General features: G+C 39.8%; 1 protein-coding gene across 25 annotated transcripts in view, besides 2 other annotated features; it reads right to left on the bottom strand.

The window, feature by feature from the left end:
• Positions 1–16,745, bottom strand: part of RIMS1 (regulating synaptic membrane exocytosis 1) — a 516,596-nt gene extending 499,851 nt beyond the window's left edge. For 22 of the 25 annotated variants that reach the window (NM_014989.7, XM_017010517.3, XM_047418419.1 and 19 more), the window contains exon 1: positions 16,108–16,745. In NM_014989.7, coding sequence (NP_055804.2) covers positions 16,108–16,271 — 164 coding nt within the window. In that variant the 5' untranslated portion in view covers positions 16,272–16,745. The remainder of the gene's footprint in view (positions 1–16,107) is intronic. The other 3 variants (NM_001350413.1, NM_001350411.1, NM_001350412.1) reach the window with 1 other exon arrangement.
• Positions 16,258–16,347: a silencer, noted in NCBI's record as "silent region_17328". NCBI's record gives its function as "represses an Ori minimal core promoter by ATAC-STARR-seq in GM12878 lymphoblastoid cells {active_cell/tissue: GM12878}" and the evidence as "EXISTENCE:reporter gene assay evidence [ECO:0000049][PMID:35858748]".
• Positions 16,468–16,617: a silencer, noted in NCBI's record as "silent region_17327". NCBI's record gives its function as "represses an Ori minimal core promoter by ATAC-STARR-seq in GM12878 lymphoblastoid cells {active_cell/tissue: GM12878}" and the evidence as "EXISTENCE:reporter gene assay evidence [ECO:0000049][PMID:35858748]".

Below are 18,723 nucleotides of genomic sequence, written 5' to 3'. Positions count from 1 at the left end.
AAAAAGCTCAACATCGCCAATCATTAGAGAAACACAAATCAAAACCACAATGAGATACCACCTCACGCCAGTCAGAATGGCGATTATTGAAAAGTCAAGAAACAACAGATGCTGGTGGGGTTGCAGAGAAAAAGGAATGCTTCTACACTGTTGGTGGGAATGTAAATTAGTTCAACCATTGTGGAAGACAGTGTGGCAATTCCTCAAAGATATAGACTCAGAAATAGCATTTGACCCAGCAATCCCATCACTGGGTATATGCCCAAAGGAATATAAATCATCATATTATAAAGACACATGCACATGTATGTTCACTGCTTCATTATTCACAATAGCAAAGACATGGAATTAACCCAAATGGCCACCAGTGATAGACTGGATAAAGAAAGTGTGAAACATATACGCCACAGAATACTATGCAGTCATAAAAAGGAATGAAATTCTGTCCTTTGCAGGTACATGGATGGAGCTGGAAGCCATTATCCTCAGCAAACTAACACAGGAACAGAAAACCGAATATCACATGTTTTCACTTATAAGTGGGAGCTGAACAATGAGAACACATGGACACATGGAGAGAAACAATACACGCTGGGGCCTGTCGGGGGCAGGGGAGGGAGAGCATCAGGAAGAATAGCTAAAGTATGCTGAGCTTAATATCTAGGAGGTGGGTTGATCTGAGTGCAGCAAACCAGCAACTACCTACAACAAATCTGCACATCCTGCACATGTACTCCAGAACTTAAAATAACTGTTGAAGAAAAAAAGAAAGATCACATACATAGGAAATTGTTGACCCAGGTTTCACAATGATTCAGCTTGAGAGGTCAAATCAAAGACTCTTCTTTTTGTGTCTCATGGGCCAAAAAGCCTCTCTTATCTGCATGCTTTTGTCAGTCTCTCCCTTTCTGTTGACTCATCTTATACATGACCCAGCATGGCTTCATCTGTAGATCAGTAATCAATTGTCTTGCTGATAAACCCACACTCTTGCTCCCCAACTCAACTATTTCAGACTTTTTTCTTTATCCTCAAATCTCAAACTCCCCTCACTCTCAAAAGATGAGCCAACTCCTACTTACAGAAAAAATAGAAACAGACAGAAGGTCCCTCATCTTTTCTTTCCCGTCACAAAATACACTCTCTCTTTTATTCAAACCACCTCCTCCACTGTATTCTCTCCTTCTTTGATTTCTAAACATTCTTAACTTTATCCATTTAAATTCTATCTTAAAGAAACCCAAATTGAACTCCTCATTCTCCTCTAGCTATCTTCTCATGCTTCTTTCCCCTTCTTAGCCAAGCTCCTTGAAAGATTTACATGCAACAACTATTTGTTTTTATTCATCTTTCTCCCATTCTACCCATTCCAATCTAGTGCTGACCCCATAAATTTGTAGAAAAAGCCTTTCCTGAAGTTACCAGTGATCTCCTTGTTACCGAATACAATAGCTCTTTCGTAGTTCTCATCCTATTTGATGTCTCTGCAGAATTCATTTTAAAAAATTGATTCAGGTAAAATTTAAATACAGTGAAATGCACACGTAGTAAGTAAACAGTTTGGTCAGTTTTGACAAATGCATACATATGTATAATACATACCTCTATCAATATTTAAGATATTTACAACCCTCCAGAAAGTCACCTCCTACCCCTTTCCAGCCAGTCCTTCACCCTTGCCACCATAGAGGAGCCTACCAATCTCATATCCACCACCATAGATTAGCTTTCCCTATTTTGGAGCTTCATATGAATGGAATCAATCATGCAGTCTGCCTGATTTGTGTCTGGCTTTTCCTATCTACCATAATGTTTTTGAGATTCATCCATGTTGTTTATGTATCAATGTTTTATTCCTGTTTATTGTGGAATAGTGAATTTTTCATTGTGTGAGTATTTCACAGCTTTTAAATTCATTCTACTGATGGACGTCTGAGCTATTTCAATTTTAGGGTCATTAACAATAAGGTTGCTATGAAGATTCTTAAATAAGTCTTTTTGTCAGTGTATGTTCTCATTTTTCTTATATAAATATCTAGGAATGGAATTCCTATGTCATAGTGTAGATGCACGCTAAACTCTTTAAGAAACTGCCAGAGTTTTCTCAAGTGGCTCTATCATGCCCACAATCAATATATAAGACTTTTAGTTTCTCATTATCTTTATCAACATTAGGTGATTCCAGTCTTCCTTGTTTGTTCATCTAATTTTAGCTATCATAGTCAGTGTGCCTTAGCCTCCTCAAAATACTCTCTTCCCTTTGATTTAGTGAGACAAGGCTCTCCTGGTTTTTATCCTATATCTCTGGCCATTTCTTCTTTAATGCTTTTGCAGGGCTATTGTCCTCTATCAATTTTTAAAAGTGAAACTTCATTAAAGCTTACTCCTAGGCTTTCTTATTGTCTGAATTTAATCACTCAGCCTCACCCATAGCTTCATGGCCATCTGTGTACACATGACTCATAAATTTACATTTCTAACCCATACTCTCTTCTGAGTTCCTGACCTTTAACCTGCTTAATATCTCTCTCGGATTTCTCAAAGTTACCACAAAGCCAAATAACCAGGACTAAATTTGGGATCTCTCTTCCACCACTCCAGATACTCCCAAAACTTGGTGGCACAAGTCTGACATCAACCCATATTCAATCAATTAAAACAACAATAACAGTTGTGGTTTTTGCTTCCCAAATCTCTCTCAAATTTTAACATTTTGCCATCACCACCAAAGTTTCTGCTTCTAACATCTGCCACCTGGATTTCTACAGTAGCCTCCCAGCTGGTCTCTACACATACATGCCCCAGGACTTCATCTAATCTGCTCTTGATACTTCAGCCAGAATGATCTTTTAAAAATGCTAATAAGATTATATCATATCTCTCTTCAAAACCCTTTGGCTCTTAAAATAAAGAAAAAACTCTAAAACATGACCTGGTGGGCCCTACCATGTCTAGTTTCTGCCTACCTCTCCAAATTCTTCTCAAACCACACTCCTGCCTTTTGCAGACTTTTTCCTCTTCCACAAGACTGGCTTCCTTCCAGTGCTTCAGGCTTACCACTCCCCCTTCCATCACTGGCTCTCATTCTTTACTTCTAGAGGGTACTTCACCCCTATTTGCCTGCTTAACTTCTGTTCATTCTCAGATCTTAGCTCAGTCCTTACTGTCATTTCCATGGGAAGCACACCTGGATAACCTGATCTTAGTCAAAATTCCTGATAAAGTATTATTTTATCAAAATATTATACAATGTTCTGTGCTGCCTTTATCATAGATTTTAATTTTACGTGGGTGATTATTCAAGAAAATTTACTTCCTTCTACAAAAGGCTATTAATTCTAGTACCACACCTAGCATATCATGAGTAGTGCCCAATCTATTTTTGCTTCAAGAACAAATGAATGTGGATCATTCATTTTCTTTGGCCCTCTGATGATTTTCTATTTAAAAATTTGAAAGACACTCTCATTAGTATTTGGCCAGTCGATAAATTACCTGGCCTTGGGCCAACTGTCCACCATTAGTCCAGTTAGCTACAGCCATGTTGGGATCATATGGATGTAGGGCTGCTTCTTCCAGAATAGCCACTGCCATAAAATCCACAGAAAGGGCTGTGGGTGCAAAAGGTAATGCAAGTCATGTCTAGATCATACAAATATACAAATTCTGGTAAATTAGATAGAATTAACTTCCTTAAGACTTTATAGAAGAATGTTTCAAGTCTTCAGGGATGTGGGTATGTGAGATTACATGTATGGAGGCACAGGTGAGATGAGAGTATATATATATATGTGTGTGTGTGTTTGTGTGTGTGTGTGTATACAAATACAAGTTCTTAGATATATATGTGAGTAGCCATTCACACCTCATCCCACTAACTTTCCTTGAATTACTGACCCACAGTAATTGAAGTCAAACCTCCAAGTGAAGAGGAACCAAAGAAAGCTCTTCTTTGTAAGCAAAAATCAACTGGCTTTTAAGAGTAAAAAAAACCAAAACATTATTTTAATATATACATAATTCAAAAGCATAATAGGAAAAGTTATTTGGAATCATAACTAAATTACTGCTAGTAAAAATGTACCTTTCAGGGAAAAATTTAAAATTAAAAATAAAATTATCACAATTAAGAAATGTTGATACAGCTTAAATAAAATTCCAACAAATATGATTCCAAAGGGAATCTTTAAATAAAATATTTCTTAGTCCCTGGCAATAATGTACTTATATAATCTGGCAATAATTTACTTATATATTATTTACTTAATAAAACCAAATTCAAAATGAACAAAGTAATTATAAGTTCTCATGGAGTTTTCTATAACAAATAGTATCTCAAAGAGAAAGCAAATAAAAACAGAAATGAAAAAAATTAAATGTTTGAATGTGTTGGTAGTTAAAATGGAACCAAGTGTAAAAAGGGTGACGGTGGAAAAAAACCACTGTACTAGGACACAGAAGACCTGGAGTCTTATCCCTAGCTCTCTCAGTAATGAAAAATGAAATCCTGAGTCTCTGGCCTCAGTTTTCTCTTCTTAGAGTAAAAATAAATCCTCAGTGGCTAGAATGTTTATTGCCATCTTTCCTGCCAACTCTTATCAGTTGATGGCCTGGAGCACTATGTTCAGAAAGGTTCTGAGGCATCTGACATGTATTAGTGATGCTGCTTTAGGTACAGGTATTTGCAGGTGAGCTGAGAATTTACCAGTGTTGGATGACATAGTCACTGAGTTCCCACTCACACCTCAACTCAGCCTAATTCTGAAATGCAAAAGTCAGTGCTGTTGTGTCCTGGGCACACAGGCTATACAATTTAGTTCAACAGCACTTGATGGAGGCCTATTATGTATGGGTTACAGAGTTGGGCAATGAAAATGAAAAGATGATTAATATAAGATACCTTCCTTCAAGGATTTTAAGTCTAGAAGATGGCTTAACTGAGGTATCCTTTTTTATTAAAAAATATAACCAGTAGAATGCTTTCTGGCAATACACTACTGATCTAATTCTAAATATCAAATCAGAAAACTAACAGTACTATGCTATAAACTGTCATGGAAGTTAGTGATGTTTTATTTCAAAGAAAATGTTTCCATTAAGCATGTCTGTCCAGAGGATTACTTTTTAAAATATATAATTTACATCCTCACCTATATTCAAATACTTTAAGAATGCTGTCTTTCAAAAACCTAAGAATGATAAATCAAGATACAACAGGCCATCAAAAATTACATGTTAATTTTACCTTATAATGTCTAGTATCCAATATATTTTCCTCATAAGTTCTGGTCAACCTGGTTCTCTCGATAACTAAAAGCACTCAACTCACTTCTTGTTTTCAAAATTTGCTGACTGAATTCCCGTGGTTAGAATAATCATCCCACTCTATCCTCCTACTTATACCGTTAGCAGCCCTGGGTGACTCCTCCAGTCCACATTCCTTGAATCTAATTCATTCATTCATTCATTCATTCATCCATCCATATACAATTTTAAAAAATGGGCACCTATTCTATGCCAGGCAATATGCTTATATGAGGGATTCAAATAAGAATGGTCCTCCTTTCCAGAATTTATGCTGTACTGAGAGGACACTGTTAAGAGAAAGAGGTTATAGAAAAATCAAATAAAACAATCAAAAGAGGTTAAGACGAATACCAAAATCTATTTGAGAAGTCTGGGAAGATATACCAGATAAGGTGTCACTTGAGCTAATTCAAAAGGCTAGGTAAAACTTAGTCAGATGTAAAAGGATATTTCTGATGGAGAGAAAAGTATGAGTTGGGTTACCATGTTGTGAAATAGCAATTACCCTTGAAAACTAGTTCAGCAAGATTATGGCAGGAATGTATTCACGGACCAAAGAACAGAAATAGCAAGTAGGATCCAGATTACAAAGTTTAAACTTTACTCTGAAAGCAAGCGGGTTTTATGGGAGAGACATGATCAGACGAATTTTAGAAAGATTCCTCTGGCAGCAATGTGGAGATCAGATCAGATGGGAGGAATTTTGATTAGTGGCAGAAAAATGAATCAAGAGGTTCCTTCAGGCATCCAGATAAGTACTGAAGAGAGCCTACATTAAGGTAATGACAATGGGATTGGAAAATAAGACAGACATTTAAAAGATTCCAAAAGATTAAATCTGTAGGATTTGATGATGGGTGAAGTGAGGAGTTGCAGTGGTGATGCTACCCACACAGACAAGAAATACAGAGACACTGCGTTTAGGCAGAAAGTCAAGAAATTTATAACAGGACACAATAAAGTTGAAGTGCCTATAGGACACTCAGGTAGAGAAATTTAACAGGTGGCTAAGGACATGAATCCAGAATTTAGTAGTAAATTCTAATGCAGTAATATAGATCTAGGGATCATTGACATATACATGGTTGGAGCCATTGACGGAGATACACAAGGAACTGCATATAAAATGGGAGAATATGGAGAATAGGACCCCATGAGAACGCCAACATCTGAGATTCAAGAGAAGATAAAATAGAAGCATTTAGAAACATTGAAGGCAAATCAAAAGGATATGGAATTATAGAAGCAAGGGCAAGAGGGAGCTTCAAAAGATTCTTCACCTCTTATCATAACCACCACTCAATTTGCACTATTTTGTGTTCTTGAGTATTTAGTCTTTTCCCAAAGTGCGTATGTCATATTTTTTTTAATTTGCACAACCTTACTAGCAAAAGTATCTGCTTCTTGTGGCCTGGTACCATGTTTATTTCTCTTCTATTGCATGTGGACCTCCTATAGCCTTTAACTATGCTGCATTTATGGAAGTCAGGGACTAGATAGCCCCTGGACTGATTATCCATCATAGTTGTACCCAATAGTGACTGTTAAAGCTTAGGCTTTTGGAGCTCTAAATACCATAAAATCCCTTTCTAATGCTTGTGTCTGGCATGATACTTAGACCATAATATCTTTTTCAGACTAGCATCAAGTTTTTACTTCAGGTTGCTATATATTAGGTGGCTAGATTTGACCTAGGGTATGCAGACAGCTGTAAATTGAAATATCCATTCTCAATATAAGAAGACTTTACTGTATTTTATTTTTCAAAATTACACTTTTATGAAAACTGTCACAATCATGAATAATATAAAATTAGAATCTCTTTAGGATTTTGGATCTTACTAAAATTTCAATATCTAAAATAAATGAGACTGTTCATTTCAATATCCCTTTATTCCAGATACTAGGATGTAAAATGTCTTCATTTTTTCCCAGAAACAAAGGGGTTAGGAAAGAAGGCTTAAGCTCCAATATATTGCAATACAGAGATAGCCAAGGAAGATAAATCTGCTAAGCTGTGTGAAATATAAAAGGAAAAGCCATTTGGTTACTTTACTTTTGTTTTCATCTCTTTCTACCAATACGCTAAGTAATCTTTCTGACCTGGATAGAACCTCTAAATGTGGATATATACTACCATATAGTTAAAGAAACCCAATACATTGATTTTTACATACCCTAGGTACTTCATATACAATCTGCCTATTTTTTCCAGAATAAAAACCACATAAATTGAAAACAAAACAGCTAGCAGCTAGACATCCTATCAAAGAGTTTCTTTCTTTCCTTCTTTTTTTTTTTTTTTTTTTTTTTTGAGAGGGAGTCTTGCTCTATCACCCAGGCTGGAGTGCAGAGGCACAATCTCAGCTTACTGCAACCTCCGCCTCCCGGGTTCAAGAAATTCTCCTGCCTCAGCCTCCCAAGTAGCTGGGATTACAGGCATGCATCACCACGCCGGCTAATTTTTTTATTTTTAGTAGAGATGGGGTTTCGCCATATTGGCCAGTCTGGTCTCAAACTCCTGACCTCAGGTGATACGCCCTTCTCAGCCTCCCAAAGTGCTGGGATTGCAGGCGTGAGCCACCGCACCCGGCCTCAAAGAGTTTCTTGTTACATTGGTTAAAAGCTGTGTTTAAACAACAAAAACAATAATATGGCACACAATGCTTGTGCACCAATAACTTACAACTTTAAAATATATTCTTGAGATTAAAAATAGTCTTCAAATATTAAGCAATACTGCTTTAAGTACAGAAAGCCATATGTAGGTATGTAAATTGTGAACTAATCAAATGGACGATGTAAAGTCCAGCAAATACAGCAAGAAAACTCCATCAAGATTACTACATTAGTTTCCACTTGTGAGTGTGTATATTATGCATGAGAGTCCATTAAAAGAAGCTAAGTAGTGTAAGACTTTTATATGACAGTACAGATATCTTAATTGGTTTTCAATTTACATACCTTCTCTATGTAAATATACTATCATCTTCCAGATGATAATTAAATTACCTGGCATAATGATGGGTAATACAAACAAATACTAAATAATGTATAAATCATTAGCATGGTATTATTTTCTATATTACACAAAATATCTTTCATTCATTATGCTTTAAAATAGCTAATATTATAATTAAGTGCATTGATTACTTACATATTGCATGAAATTACTTTCTATAACATTACCTTATTTTACTATCTAAACATCAGAGGAATTATCAAAATATTACAAATAACATGCAATTACTTTCTGTAACATTACCTCATTTTGCCATCTAAACTCAGAGGAATATCAAAATATTACATCCCAAAATCTATTTAAATAAATTCTCACACATTAAAGATGTCTTTGGTAAACTGCAGGCTGCTCTTTGCAAGGCTCAAAGGAGAATTCTCATAAAGACAGTCCTGTATGAAGTCGCAATTCATAACTACTATTATTTGAAAAATGTTTTGAAATTTTAAATTCAGCTTTGCCATAAAAAGCATCATTCTGTTGAGATTCCATAAAAGAGAATACCTTATTTCCTTTTTTTTTTCAGACAGAGTCTCACTCTGTTGCCCAGGCTGGACTGCAGTGGCAGGATCTCAGCTCATTGCAGCCTCTGCCTCCTGGTTTCAAGCGATTCTTCTGCTTCAGCCTCCTGGGTACCTGGGATTACAGGTGCACTCCACCATACCAGGTTAATTTTTTGTATTTTTAGTAGAGACGGGGTTTTACCATGTTGGCCAGGCTGGTCTCAAACTCCTGAGCTCAAGTGATCCACCCGCTTTGGCCTCCCAAAGTGTTGGGATTACGGGAGTGAGCCACCACGCCTGGCTGATAATACCTCATTCTCAGAAAAAGTGTTCTCCATTTACCAAACAATGATCAAGATTTTATATCTACCACTTGCTTGCATTACTTATTGTTGAGATATATTTTAACACTGTTAATTGCTTGATTTTCTGAAGTTATAAATGAAGAATTTGGGGAAGAGAAAGCAAGATTTAAAAAGAGGAAGACAATATAATTTGTCATCCGGGTTGAAACTCAAAATTGAGAGAAGGGGTTACCATACATAATAATAGCAGGAAATTGGTATAAACAGATAAAGGAAAATCAACATGTACAGTCACCTTCCTTTTAAACAGCTCTATTTTGCCTTTAAGTAAGCATTCGTATGAACAGGAAGTTTTCACAATATTGCAACAGAAGCAGAAACATCTAAAATCAATTCTGCAGAATAACCCCCTCTTGCTGTCCACAGAAAAGTAATCTAGTCAAAATAAGTGTATATAAACTCGATGTAAGAATGTGAGAATATAAATACAGAAAACCTAAGGCATCCAATAAAGAATCTTAAAAAGTTCTTAAACACATGCAATTTATTACATCACTCAATGGTAAACTGACATGAAAGAAAACTACCTGACAAATATACATGACCCCTTATTCAGCTAATTCTGAAAATGAAGAATTTATTAAACCCAGTGACACTAAAATTATTACTGTATTTCTCCAAATTTTTTTCTGTAAAAGATGAGGAAATTACCCCAAGCTAATTTCTCTTCTCATTTTTGAATTAGGATTGCCTTTTAGATCTTTCAAACTTTATCACTTTGCCCACATTGCTTTTTGTGCTAAAAACATGTACGAGCTATTTAATGAGAGGGGAAAAAAAAAAAGAAAAGAAAGAAGGTAAATATAGTCTCAGACCAAGCCCTGAACTCATTTTACCTTTTAACTCCTTGTCAAATTCTCACACTGGGAGCTGCAACCCTGGCAACACTGCATTGCTAGCATGAAAGGATAGGTGGGCTCTTCTCCAAGAGCTCATCTTCCCAAGCCCCCTAGTACCTTCAAAGACTACTGGAAAATATAATCTTGGTGTTCTACAGTTTTAACAAATAAGCATAATAATGGCACCTTTCTTGGAAACAGCAATTTGGAGGATATGATGACTCCACTATCATTTTAAAGCTTCACAGATTAGAAGGACTGCCATTATAAATTCCACTTTACATATAAAATCTGATGCTTGGATGGATTATCTTGACAATGTTCACACCTATAAAAAGTCATAATGTTAAGACCAGAATCTAGTCCAGTGTTCTATCCAACTATCCAGCACTCACCTCTTTTTCTGACTACGGCAGTTTTAAAATGATAGGAACTCAGCCAACATTGGGCTGTAAGCAGAGGATTCGCCTTTATTCTACCCCAGCAGCCTAATGCCTGACCTAATTCTAATACCTGAAACAATGGTCTTGTTGAATTAAATATCATATGACACTTTGTTAGAAATAGCCTATTTAATAAATAAAATTCAGAACAATAGTGGCAAACAAAGATAACTCATGGTTAGGTGGAATGGTGGGAAAATGCTATGGTATTAGGGAACCCTGTGGGCAAAACAGCAAGCAGATAAGGAAAACTCCAGGTACAAATGGGGTTAGAGAGTCACCTGGGGCCAGAACTGCGGAAGCCAGACAGTTCTGGAGAGTCCACCCTCAGAAAAGGGTGGAACATGTTACTAGCCACATGAAGCTCCTCTCTCACTCCTTTAAGTTTTGTTCTCTGGACTCCAGAATCAAATGTCATGAGCAAAGGGTCAGGAAGATGCCAAGCTAGTTCTGGGAATTTCACTAACATTGGAAAACTAATAAATACTCACAGGCTAGAATTCTCTTCAAGAGGTGAGCCTGGGTGAGTAAAATTTGTAAAGCATCCAGTCAAATGCATAATACATAGAAGGTACACGATAAATGTTAGTTTCCTTTCCAACAGATGAGGGAAACAAATCATAATAGCCAGCACTCAATGCACTTTTTTAAAGACTTAAAAGAACAATAATGGTTTGAGGTCAGTGTACATGGATTCTGGATTCATTATGCTAGCTGCCACGTGCCTCAGGCAAATTTACTTTGACTCTCAGGACCAACTCTAAAATACCCAACTCACAGGACCAAATGTATAAAAGTAGAAAACAGCCCATGAGGACAAATTAAATGCAATACAATTGACTTTATAAGCCATGGTACTGCAACCTCATCCATCTGCTTATTACAGGTATGGGCGGATAATAATATGATTTTAGGAATTCATATTTGATATCTTTCCAGGAAGCTCACTGCACAAGTTTACAAAAATTGTTTTCCTCGTTTAAAAAGTTGAGCAAATAACATTCCCAAGACATTATGCTTCTATTAGTCAAGTCAGCAGTAGCACATCCAGCCCACACTGGTTTCCATATTCTCCTTCTAATTTAGTAATGTATTTACTTAAATAATGCCTTTTTCATATTTTGGGGTGTAAGATATTAAAATCTTTTCAAACCCTAATGAAAATATGATACCTGCATACATAGGAACGCTATCCTCATCCCCCTCAAGGTTCCCCAGATTTTCCTTCCACTTTTCTTCTTTTCCCAGTTGGTAACTGGGATCTCTCATAATGAACCTTATGGATATATTTCAGGCCACAGTATTATATTTGTGTAAAGTAAGTAAAAGGAGGAGGAAAGCTGAAGTTACAGGAATTCTTCTCATTCTACTTTCTCTCTCCTTTCCAGGAAAAAAGTAGTAATTATGGATGATTAGAAAGCAAATGCTAGGTGACCTGTTAAGAAGAGAAGGAGAAGCCCAAAGTCAATACTCTTTATAAATCAATTCATACCATGGACTGAAGGATTTGTAGGAAAAAAATGAAACTTCATACAATCTCAATTTAATTTTCTTGCCCATGTTTGCACAGTAAGTGGCAGAACTAGAACTAGAACCTAAAAACACTCGGATACAAACTTAATGGTCTTTCCACTACACTGTGATGCTTTTTATTACCTTCTAACACTCTATGAAAGAGTATAGGTGAAGCCCCAGGCTCTGCTGTGATCAGCAGCTGATCTGAATCAGCCTAATTTTTTGCCAAGCCACTTCTCTGCAACTGAGAAAAGACTATAAATTCATTTAAAGAAAATATAAATGAAATATAGGCTGCTTCTTGGTAGGAAGACAGTGTAGTGTACGGGAAAATACTTGGATTTAGACTAAAAGGTCTGATTTTGAATCATGATTGGACCATGTTATGTGAGTCAGTTTAGGATATTACTAAATTCTCTGAGGGTAGTGTGAGGATGTGAGAATTATATTATTTGGTTTACCTTCTGCACAGGCTATTGTGAGAATCCAAATATTTATACTTATAATAAACTTGAGCACAGTTTAACTATTTGGCATTAGATTAAATAACTTAAAATAAGAGCTAGTGTGAGGTTAATGTTCAATAAATGTTACCTATTTACATTATATTCCAATATGGTACTCGATTCTCATCCTCAAACCATCGCCTTAACTCTCTACATTTTTTCTCTTCTCTTACTATTCAGTAGCTGCTTTCTCTATGAAGTTTTTTTTTTTTTTTTTTTTTTTTTTTACAAAAAGGAGTAAGATCCTAGATCTAATGAGATCTTCTCTGATTTAGGTCCCAGATAATGCAGTTTTCAGCCTATGTAATATATTGGCTCATGATGTCTAGTAACAGTTACTTGAAGGAGTATTCATCGAGAAAGTTAGGTTTCAGAAAGCCTTCAGAACACACACACTCACATCCAAAACACTATTAAGATTAAGAAAAGACCTCTAATTTGCAGATAATTAAGTCAATCATTAAACATAATTTGTGGGAGCCAACTATTTCCAGTTATATGGCCATTAAACTTAAAATTAGTGTACTTTGCCAACAAAACGAATTCTTTTTATGATAAAGTACTTTCAATTTCAAATAAAATCTTCTAAAATCTTGATTTTAAAGTAGCTTGATTTTTTTCCATTTATACATATTTAAAGACATTCTCAAAGCCAAATTCAACTAGTAATTTACAATCAAGGCCGATGAAACTTACAAATACATTTTAATTGATATTTTATAATGTTGGTTTCACATATTCATCCATCATTTTCTATTTTCTCTCTGCGCCTATTTTTATACATTGTGAAAAGAGACAGCATGCACAGTAGGTAGCTTAAGGAGATAGTTCTGCACCAATAACACAAGTGAATTTTAAGTCTAATTGCCGTATTGCCAGAACTTAAGCTTTGTAGAGCGTTTTGTGAAAGTAATTTCTCAGATGTGTGATTATGATCACCCATAATTACCACAAAAACTTTTCTCTGATGTAACAATATTTTAAAGCCCTGTTAAAAGAATCCTGTTTTCCAATCTATTTTAACACAAAGTTTTAAAAAGGCCACCATCTATGACTATGTGTCATTATGTCCTCATATATATGTGTCATCTAAATAGTTCCCATTATCCCCAGTTTTTAAGACATAAAGTGTCCCCTATAAAAAAAAATTACAGCACTTTTCCACTAATTGCAGACAATATGACATGCTTACATGGCAGCAAACTGGGATTCCAAAACACTCACCAATCTGTCACTGAACAAAAGGCCAAGACATTAGCAGAGGAGGCTGATGGATAAAGTTAATACAGAGGTCCAGGATTATAGAGAGCTGTTGTATAACAGCATCATATACAGTGATATTTTGTGAATCCATGCAACAAAGGAACAATATATGCAAGCCAGTAGAAAGCAGTCACAGGAAAAGCAGCGGAAAAGATGTGTTAGACATGAGCAGTTGGACAGTGCTCCTAATTTTTATTTGCCCATATAAGCCCATACAATCTTATAATTGCTGTCCTTTGGCAGTTAGCAGGTTTGGAATTCTGTCCTAAAACTCACCCACTCCCACTTAAAATCCCTCACTCTCCACCATGCTTGAGACAGCCAATGAAGAGGCATGATGGCCACTACTTGCACCGTGCCTTCCCCTTCCTATCCGGACTCTGGCAAGCAGCAGCCTATATTTTCCACTAGCTACTGGAGGCCTCCATCCACCTGCTGTCTGCAGCAAACAGCAAAAGGAACAGCAGCAAACCTGTAAATCCTGACAAGCCGAAAAGGTGTTCAGGACAGGTGGCAGGGGCTGTAACCAGTGAGTACAGACGGACTGACAACCAGACAGACAGACAGCAGCACTATCAGACACCATCCATTACTTCCAGTCTCAGAAGAGGGGAAGCCTGCAGCACCAGGGACGTCATTCTTCCACTAGGGACAGGCAGCAGATTAACGAGGGTTCTGCCTCCCTCAAGCCGGCAGGCTTAAAGTATTTGATTTTTGGATGAGAAGGAGCAGGGAATTCAGAAACCTGCTGCTCTTTATAGAACCAGGCCAGCTCTGGCCTTCGGAGTTAATGGCCCTTTTCTGAATCTACAATGAAAGAACAGGAATGACTGGATTTCTACTATTTTGCTGTGACCTAACAGCCACATCTCTCCCTCAGTATCCCCCTCCCCTATCTGAGTGTCAGTTGCCCTGGTTGGGGAACCATCGGTCTGTGAATGCAGCCTCCCTCCATTCCTCTCCTATGAGGCACTGCTGCACTGAGGGGAAGCAGAAGAAATCTTCTTCGGCAGCATCTTCTCTCGAGGAGGCACTTCTAGGGGGTGGGGGAGAGGCCATGCAGAATGTGCTCTGTGTCTGGGTTTCACCCCTGCTCCCTCCCCACCCCTCTTTTGCTATCAGGTAACTCCAGATGCAACAGGTTCCTTTTGGCTCTTCATGCCAATCCCCTGGCCCCAGATACACCTTCCAGCCTAAGCAGGGGACACCAAGGAGTCAGTCACAGTCAGGGCCCCTACATTCCCCTGCTTCAGAGTGAAAACTTTCCTGAATACATGAAGACTTCCCAAGAAAAGGCAGGGTTGAAGCCTCCTTCAGCTCTACTCTATGGGTGATGCTAAGCAAGGAAAGCCCCGTCTCTCTGCCAGTCCCTTGTAAGCAGTTTTGTCTGAGGCAAGCAGCAGCACAGTGTCACACACTCCTGCACCACCAGCAAGTAGTCCCATCTTCTCCCCATCACCAGGAAAATGGGGCATCAGACAGAAATCCCTTGAAGGGTTGATGCGCTCTAAAGAAGTGAGGAGGAGTGCAAATTCCCAATCCCTTATTGGACTGTTTCCTCCAGGAACTGAACAGGCCCCAGAGGTCTCTTGGAAACCACTAAAGAGGAACCTCTATGTTATTCAGGCCAGAGTCCCTGTCAGCTTCTCCCATGATTAAAAACTTTGTATTGCCAGTGGCATTACATATGGAGAAGAGAATCTGTCTTCACACAGGTATGCTGTGTAGAAGACTCTGAATAAAAGGTTAAAGAGAAGCTGGGGAGGCAGGTTACCAAAGATGGCAATTGCCCAAAAAAAGACCCAACCTTGATCTGTGAGATGAATGATTACTAAAATGAACACTAAAAATAAGCATTTTTATTATATAAATATAGGCAGCCTTCACTGGGGTAACCCCGACCAGCTAAACAACTCCAAGAAGAGAAGAGGAGCTGTCCTCAGCACCTCTTCATCCTGCCTCCCCTTGTTTCTACTCATCCCCTGCCCCCTAACCTGCTCCCAGCCCAGGGACCTTCCACTTGGGTGGGATCAGCACCTCTCAGCTTCTGCACTTCCCACCACGAGCGTGGCCCCCGTCCACCCATCCCTCCTCTGCACCCCAGTCTCAAGTCATCCTCCCCCGGCCTTTGGGTTCCTGGATCTGTGGCATATCCCCTCCCTCCTCCGGTCCCCTGACCTCTTCCCTGCTCAAGCCCCGCGCCCCTGGCCCAAGGCGGGCGCCTCCGTCCGCACCCAGCACCCTGGCAGCCCCTTCCCCACACTCAGCCGCGAGGACTAGGGGAGTGAGTGGTGAATGGACGGATGGAGGCACGGAGGCATGGATGGCGCGGCTGGGGCTGGCTTACTTGAGCATGGCTTCTTCTTTTTCCTCCTCTTCCTTCTGCCGGTCCATCACTGCCATGATAATGTTCCTCTCCTCTTCGGTCAGGTGGCTCAGGTCGGGCAGCTCTTGCATGGGGGGAGGCACCGTGGGTGGGCGAGGACCGCGGGGCCCCACGGCCGAGGACATTTTCGTGGCCTGCCCGCCCCCTCTGCTCGCTCTCTGGCTCTCACCTTTCGGATGCACGCCCAGCAGCTGCGCCCCTGCTTCCCCCTCACAGCGGAGCCCTAGCGGCGGCGGCAGGAGGAGGAGCAGCGGCGGCGGCGGCAGCAGCAGCAGCAGCAGAGCCGGGGAGAGCGAGAACCCAGTCTTTCATGGTTGTTTGCATCCACCCAGCCCCGGATGCTGCCTTTGTTTTGGTCGCCCTAGCGAAGCTCGGGGCCGCCCGGCCGCCTCCCGCAGCCCAGCCTCGGCCGGCGGGGGCGGGCAGGCGGAGGCGCGGCGGGAGAGGCGAGGGGGCGAGGGCTCGCGCCAGGCTCCGCCGATCCGGGCGTCTCCGGCGGGGCGCGGGGCGGGGGCGGGGCTGGGGCTGGGGCTGGGGCTGGGACTGGGGCGGCCGCTGCCGCCGTGGAGGCTGCTCCCAGGCTCTGCTGCCTCCAATTTGGGGCTGCGGGAGGGAGAGGGAGAGTTTGGGTGTCAGTTAGGCGGAGTCTCAGAGGCTTCCATCCAGGGTGATGCCGCTGCTCTCGCAGACATAGCTGCCAGCCACTCAGTCCCGGCGCCGCTCCGCCCACGGGCACCCACCCGCCCACTCCCCGGGTCCGAGCCACGCGTGCCCCGGCCGCTACCCCTACAGTCGCCAACGTGCACAGCACCTCGCTCTATCCCCAGGTACCCCTCACCCATGAGTCATCCTCCCTCTTCTGGTCCCTCGCCTATGTCATCCTCCCCAGCCCTATTTTGCATGGGTCGCATTAATCATCATCATCCTCGCTACCATCTTCATCATAGAGCATTAATATTATTTGAGCAACCACAATGTTCTGAACAGCAGAATGGAACACCCTGTGGATACATTTTCTTTTTCCTCCCTGCCACCGTGTCTTTCTTATTTACTAGTTAAGTGTTCACAGCCACAACAATGTGATTTTTTGGATGCTTTTGATACACACACACACACACACACACACACACACACACACACACACATCCTCCAACAGCCTGGATTTTCTGGGTATATTGTACTCATCAATGCAGTGTCTTTCTTGACCCGTCCTCGCTAGGACTGTTCTGCAGTGTATCAAGATGCCCCACAACACGGTAAATCTTTAATTTGTGTTTTTTGGCTCTAGGTAGCCCCATCACATCACATAACTGCTCTCTGGTGCTTACACATGAGTTATCTACTCTAATTCCTCTAATGATGTTCGCTATCATCATACTCACTCACATGTAGTTCAGAGTATCTCTGTAGGTACTTCCCAAGAAACACTGATCCCAGATAAGAAAAACACTCAACCATATCCTATTGTATTTAAGAAGCTTCTGCTAATGCCTAGCCCAATGATAGGCATTAAGGATGAGCTTCTCTTGCTGATAAAGGCAGAAATAAATAGGCAATCTTTTCAAAATAGGTAATGTTATCAGCTTTGAAACCTGGAGACTGAATTTTCTTGATATAATTATAAAAGAATCAATATAGAAAAGGGTTTAAATTGAACAACAATTTCCTAGTCAAGACTCCTTAGCAATGATGATGAGAGAATTGATATGTTTCTCTCCTAGGCTATTTTTTTAACTTAATTTAACTTAAAGTTCTGGAGTACATGTGCTGGATGTGGAGGGTTGTTACATAGGTAAACATGTGTCATGGTGGTTTGCTGCACCTATCAACCCATCACCTAGGTATTAAGCCCCATATACATTAGCTATTTGTCCTGATTCTCTCCCTGTGCCCCACCACAGGCCCCAGTGTGTGGTGTTCCTCTCCCTGTGTCCGGGTGTTCTCATTGTTGAACTCCCATTTATAAGTGGGAACATGGTGTTTGATTTTCTGTTCCTGTGTTAGTTTGCTGAGAATAATGGCTTCCAGCTCAAACCACGTCCCTGCAAAGGACATGATCTCATTCTTTTTTATGGCTGAATAGTGTTCCATGGTGTGTATATGTACTACATTTTCTTTATCCAGTCTATCATTGACAGGCATTTGGGTTGATTCCATGTCTTTGCTATTGTGAATAGTGCTGCAATGAACATCCATGTGCATGTATCTTTATAATGATTTATATTCCTTTGGGCATATACCCAGTGATGGGATTGCTGGGTTAAATGGTATTTCTGGTTCTAGGTCTTTGAGGACTCGCCACACTGTCTTCCACAATGACTGAACTAATTTACATTCCCACCAACAGTGTAAAAGTGTTCCTATTTCTCCACAGCCTCACCAGCATTTGTTGTATCTTGACTTTTAATGATAGCCATTCTGACTGGCATGAGATGGTATCTCATTGTGATTTTGATTTGCATTTCTTTAAGGATGTGATGTTGAACTTTTTTTCATATGTTTGTTGCCTGCATAAATGTCTTCTTTTGAGAAGTGTCTATTCATGTCCTTTGCCCACTTTTTAGTGGGGTTGTTTGT

Source organism: Homo sapiens, chromosome 6, assembly GCF_000001405.40.
Source record: "Homo sapiens chromosome 6, GRCh38.p14 Primary Assembly".
In the NCBI taxonomy this organism is placed as follows: domain Eukaryota; kingdom Metazoa; phylum Chordata; class Mammalia; order Primates; family Hominidae; genus Homo; species Homo sapiens.
Note: the sequence above shows the minus strand (reverse complement) of the source record. Positions and strands in the feature narration are given on the sequence as shown.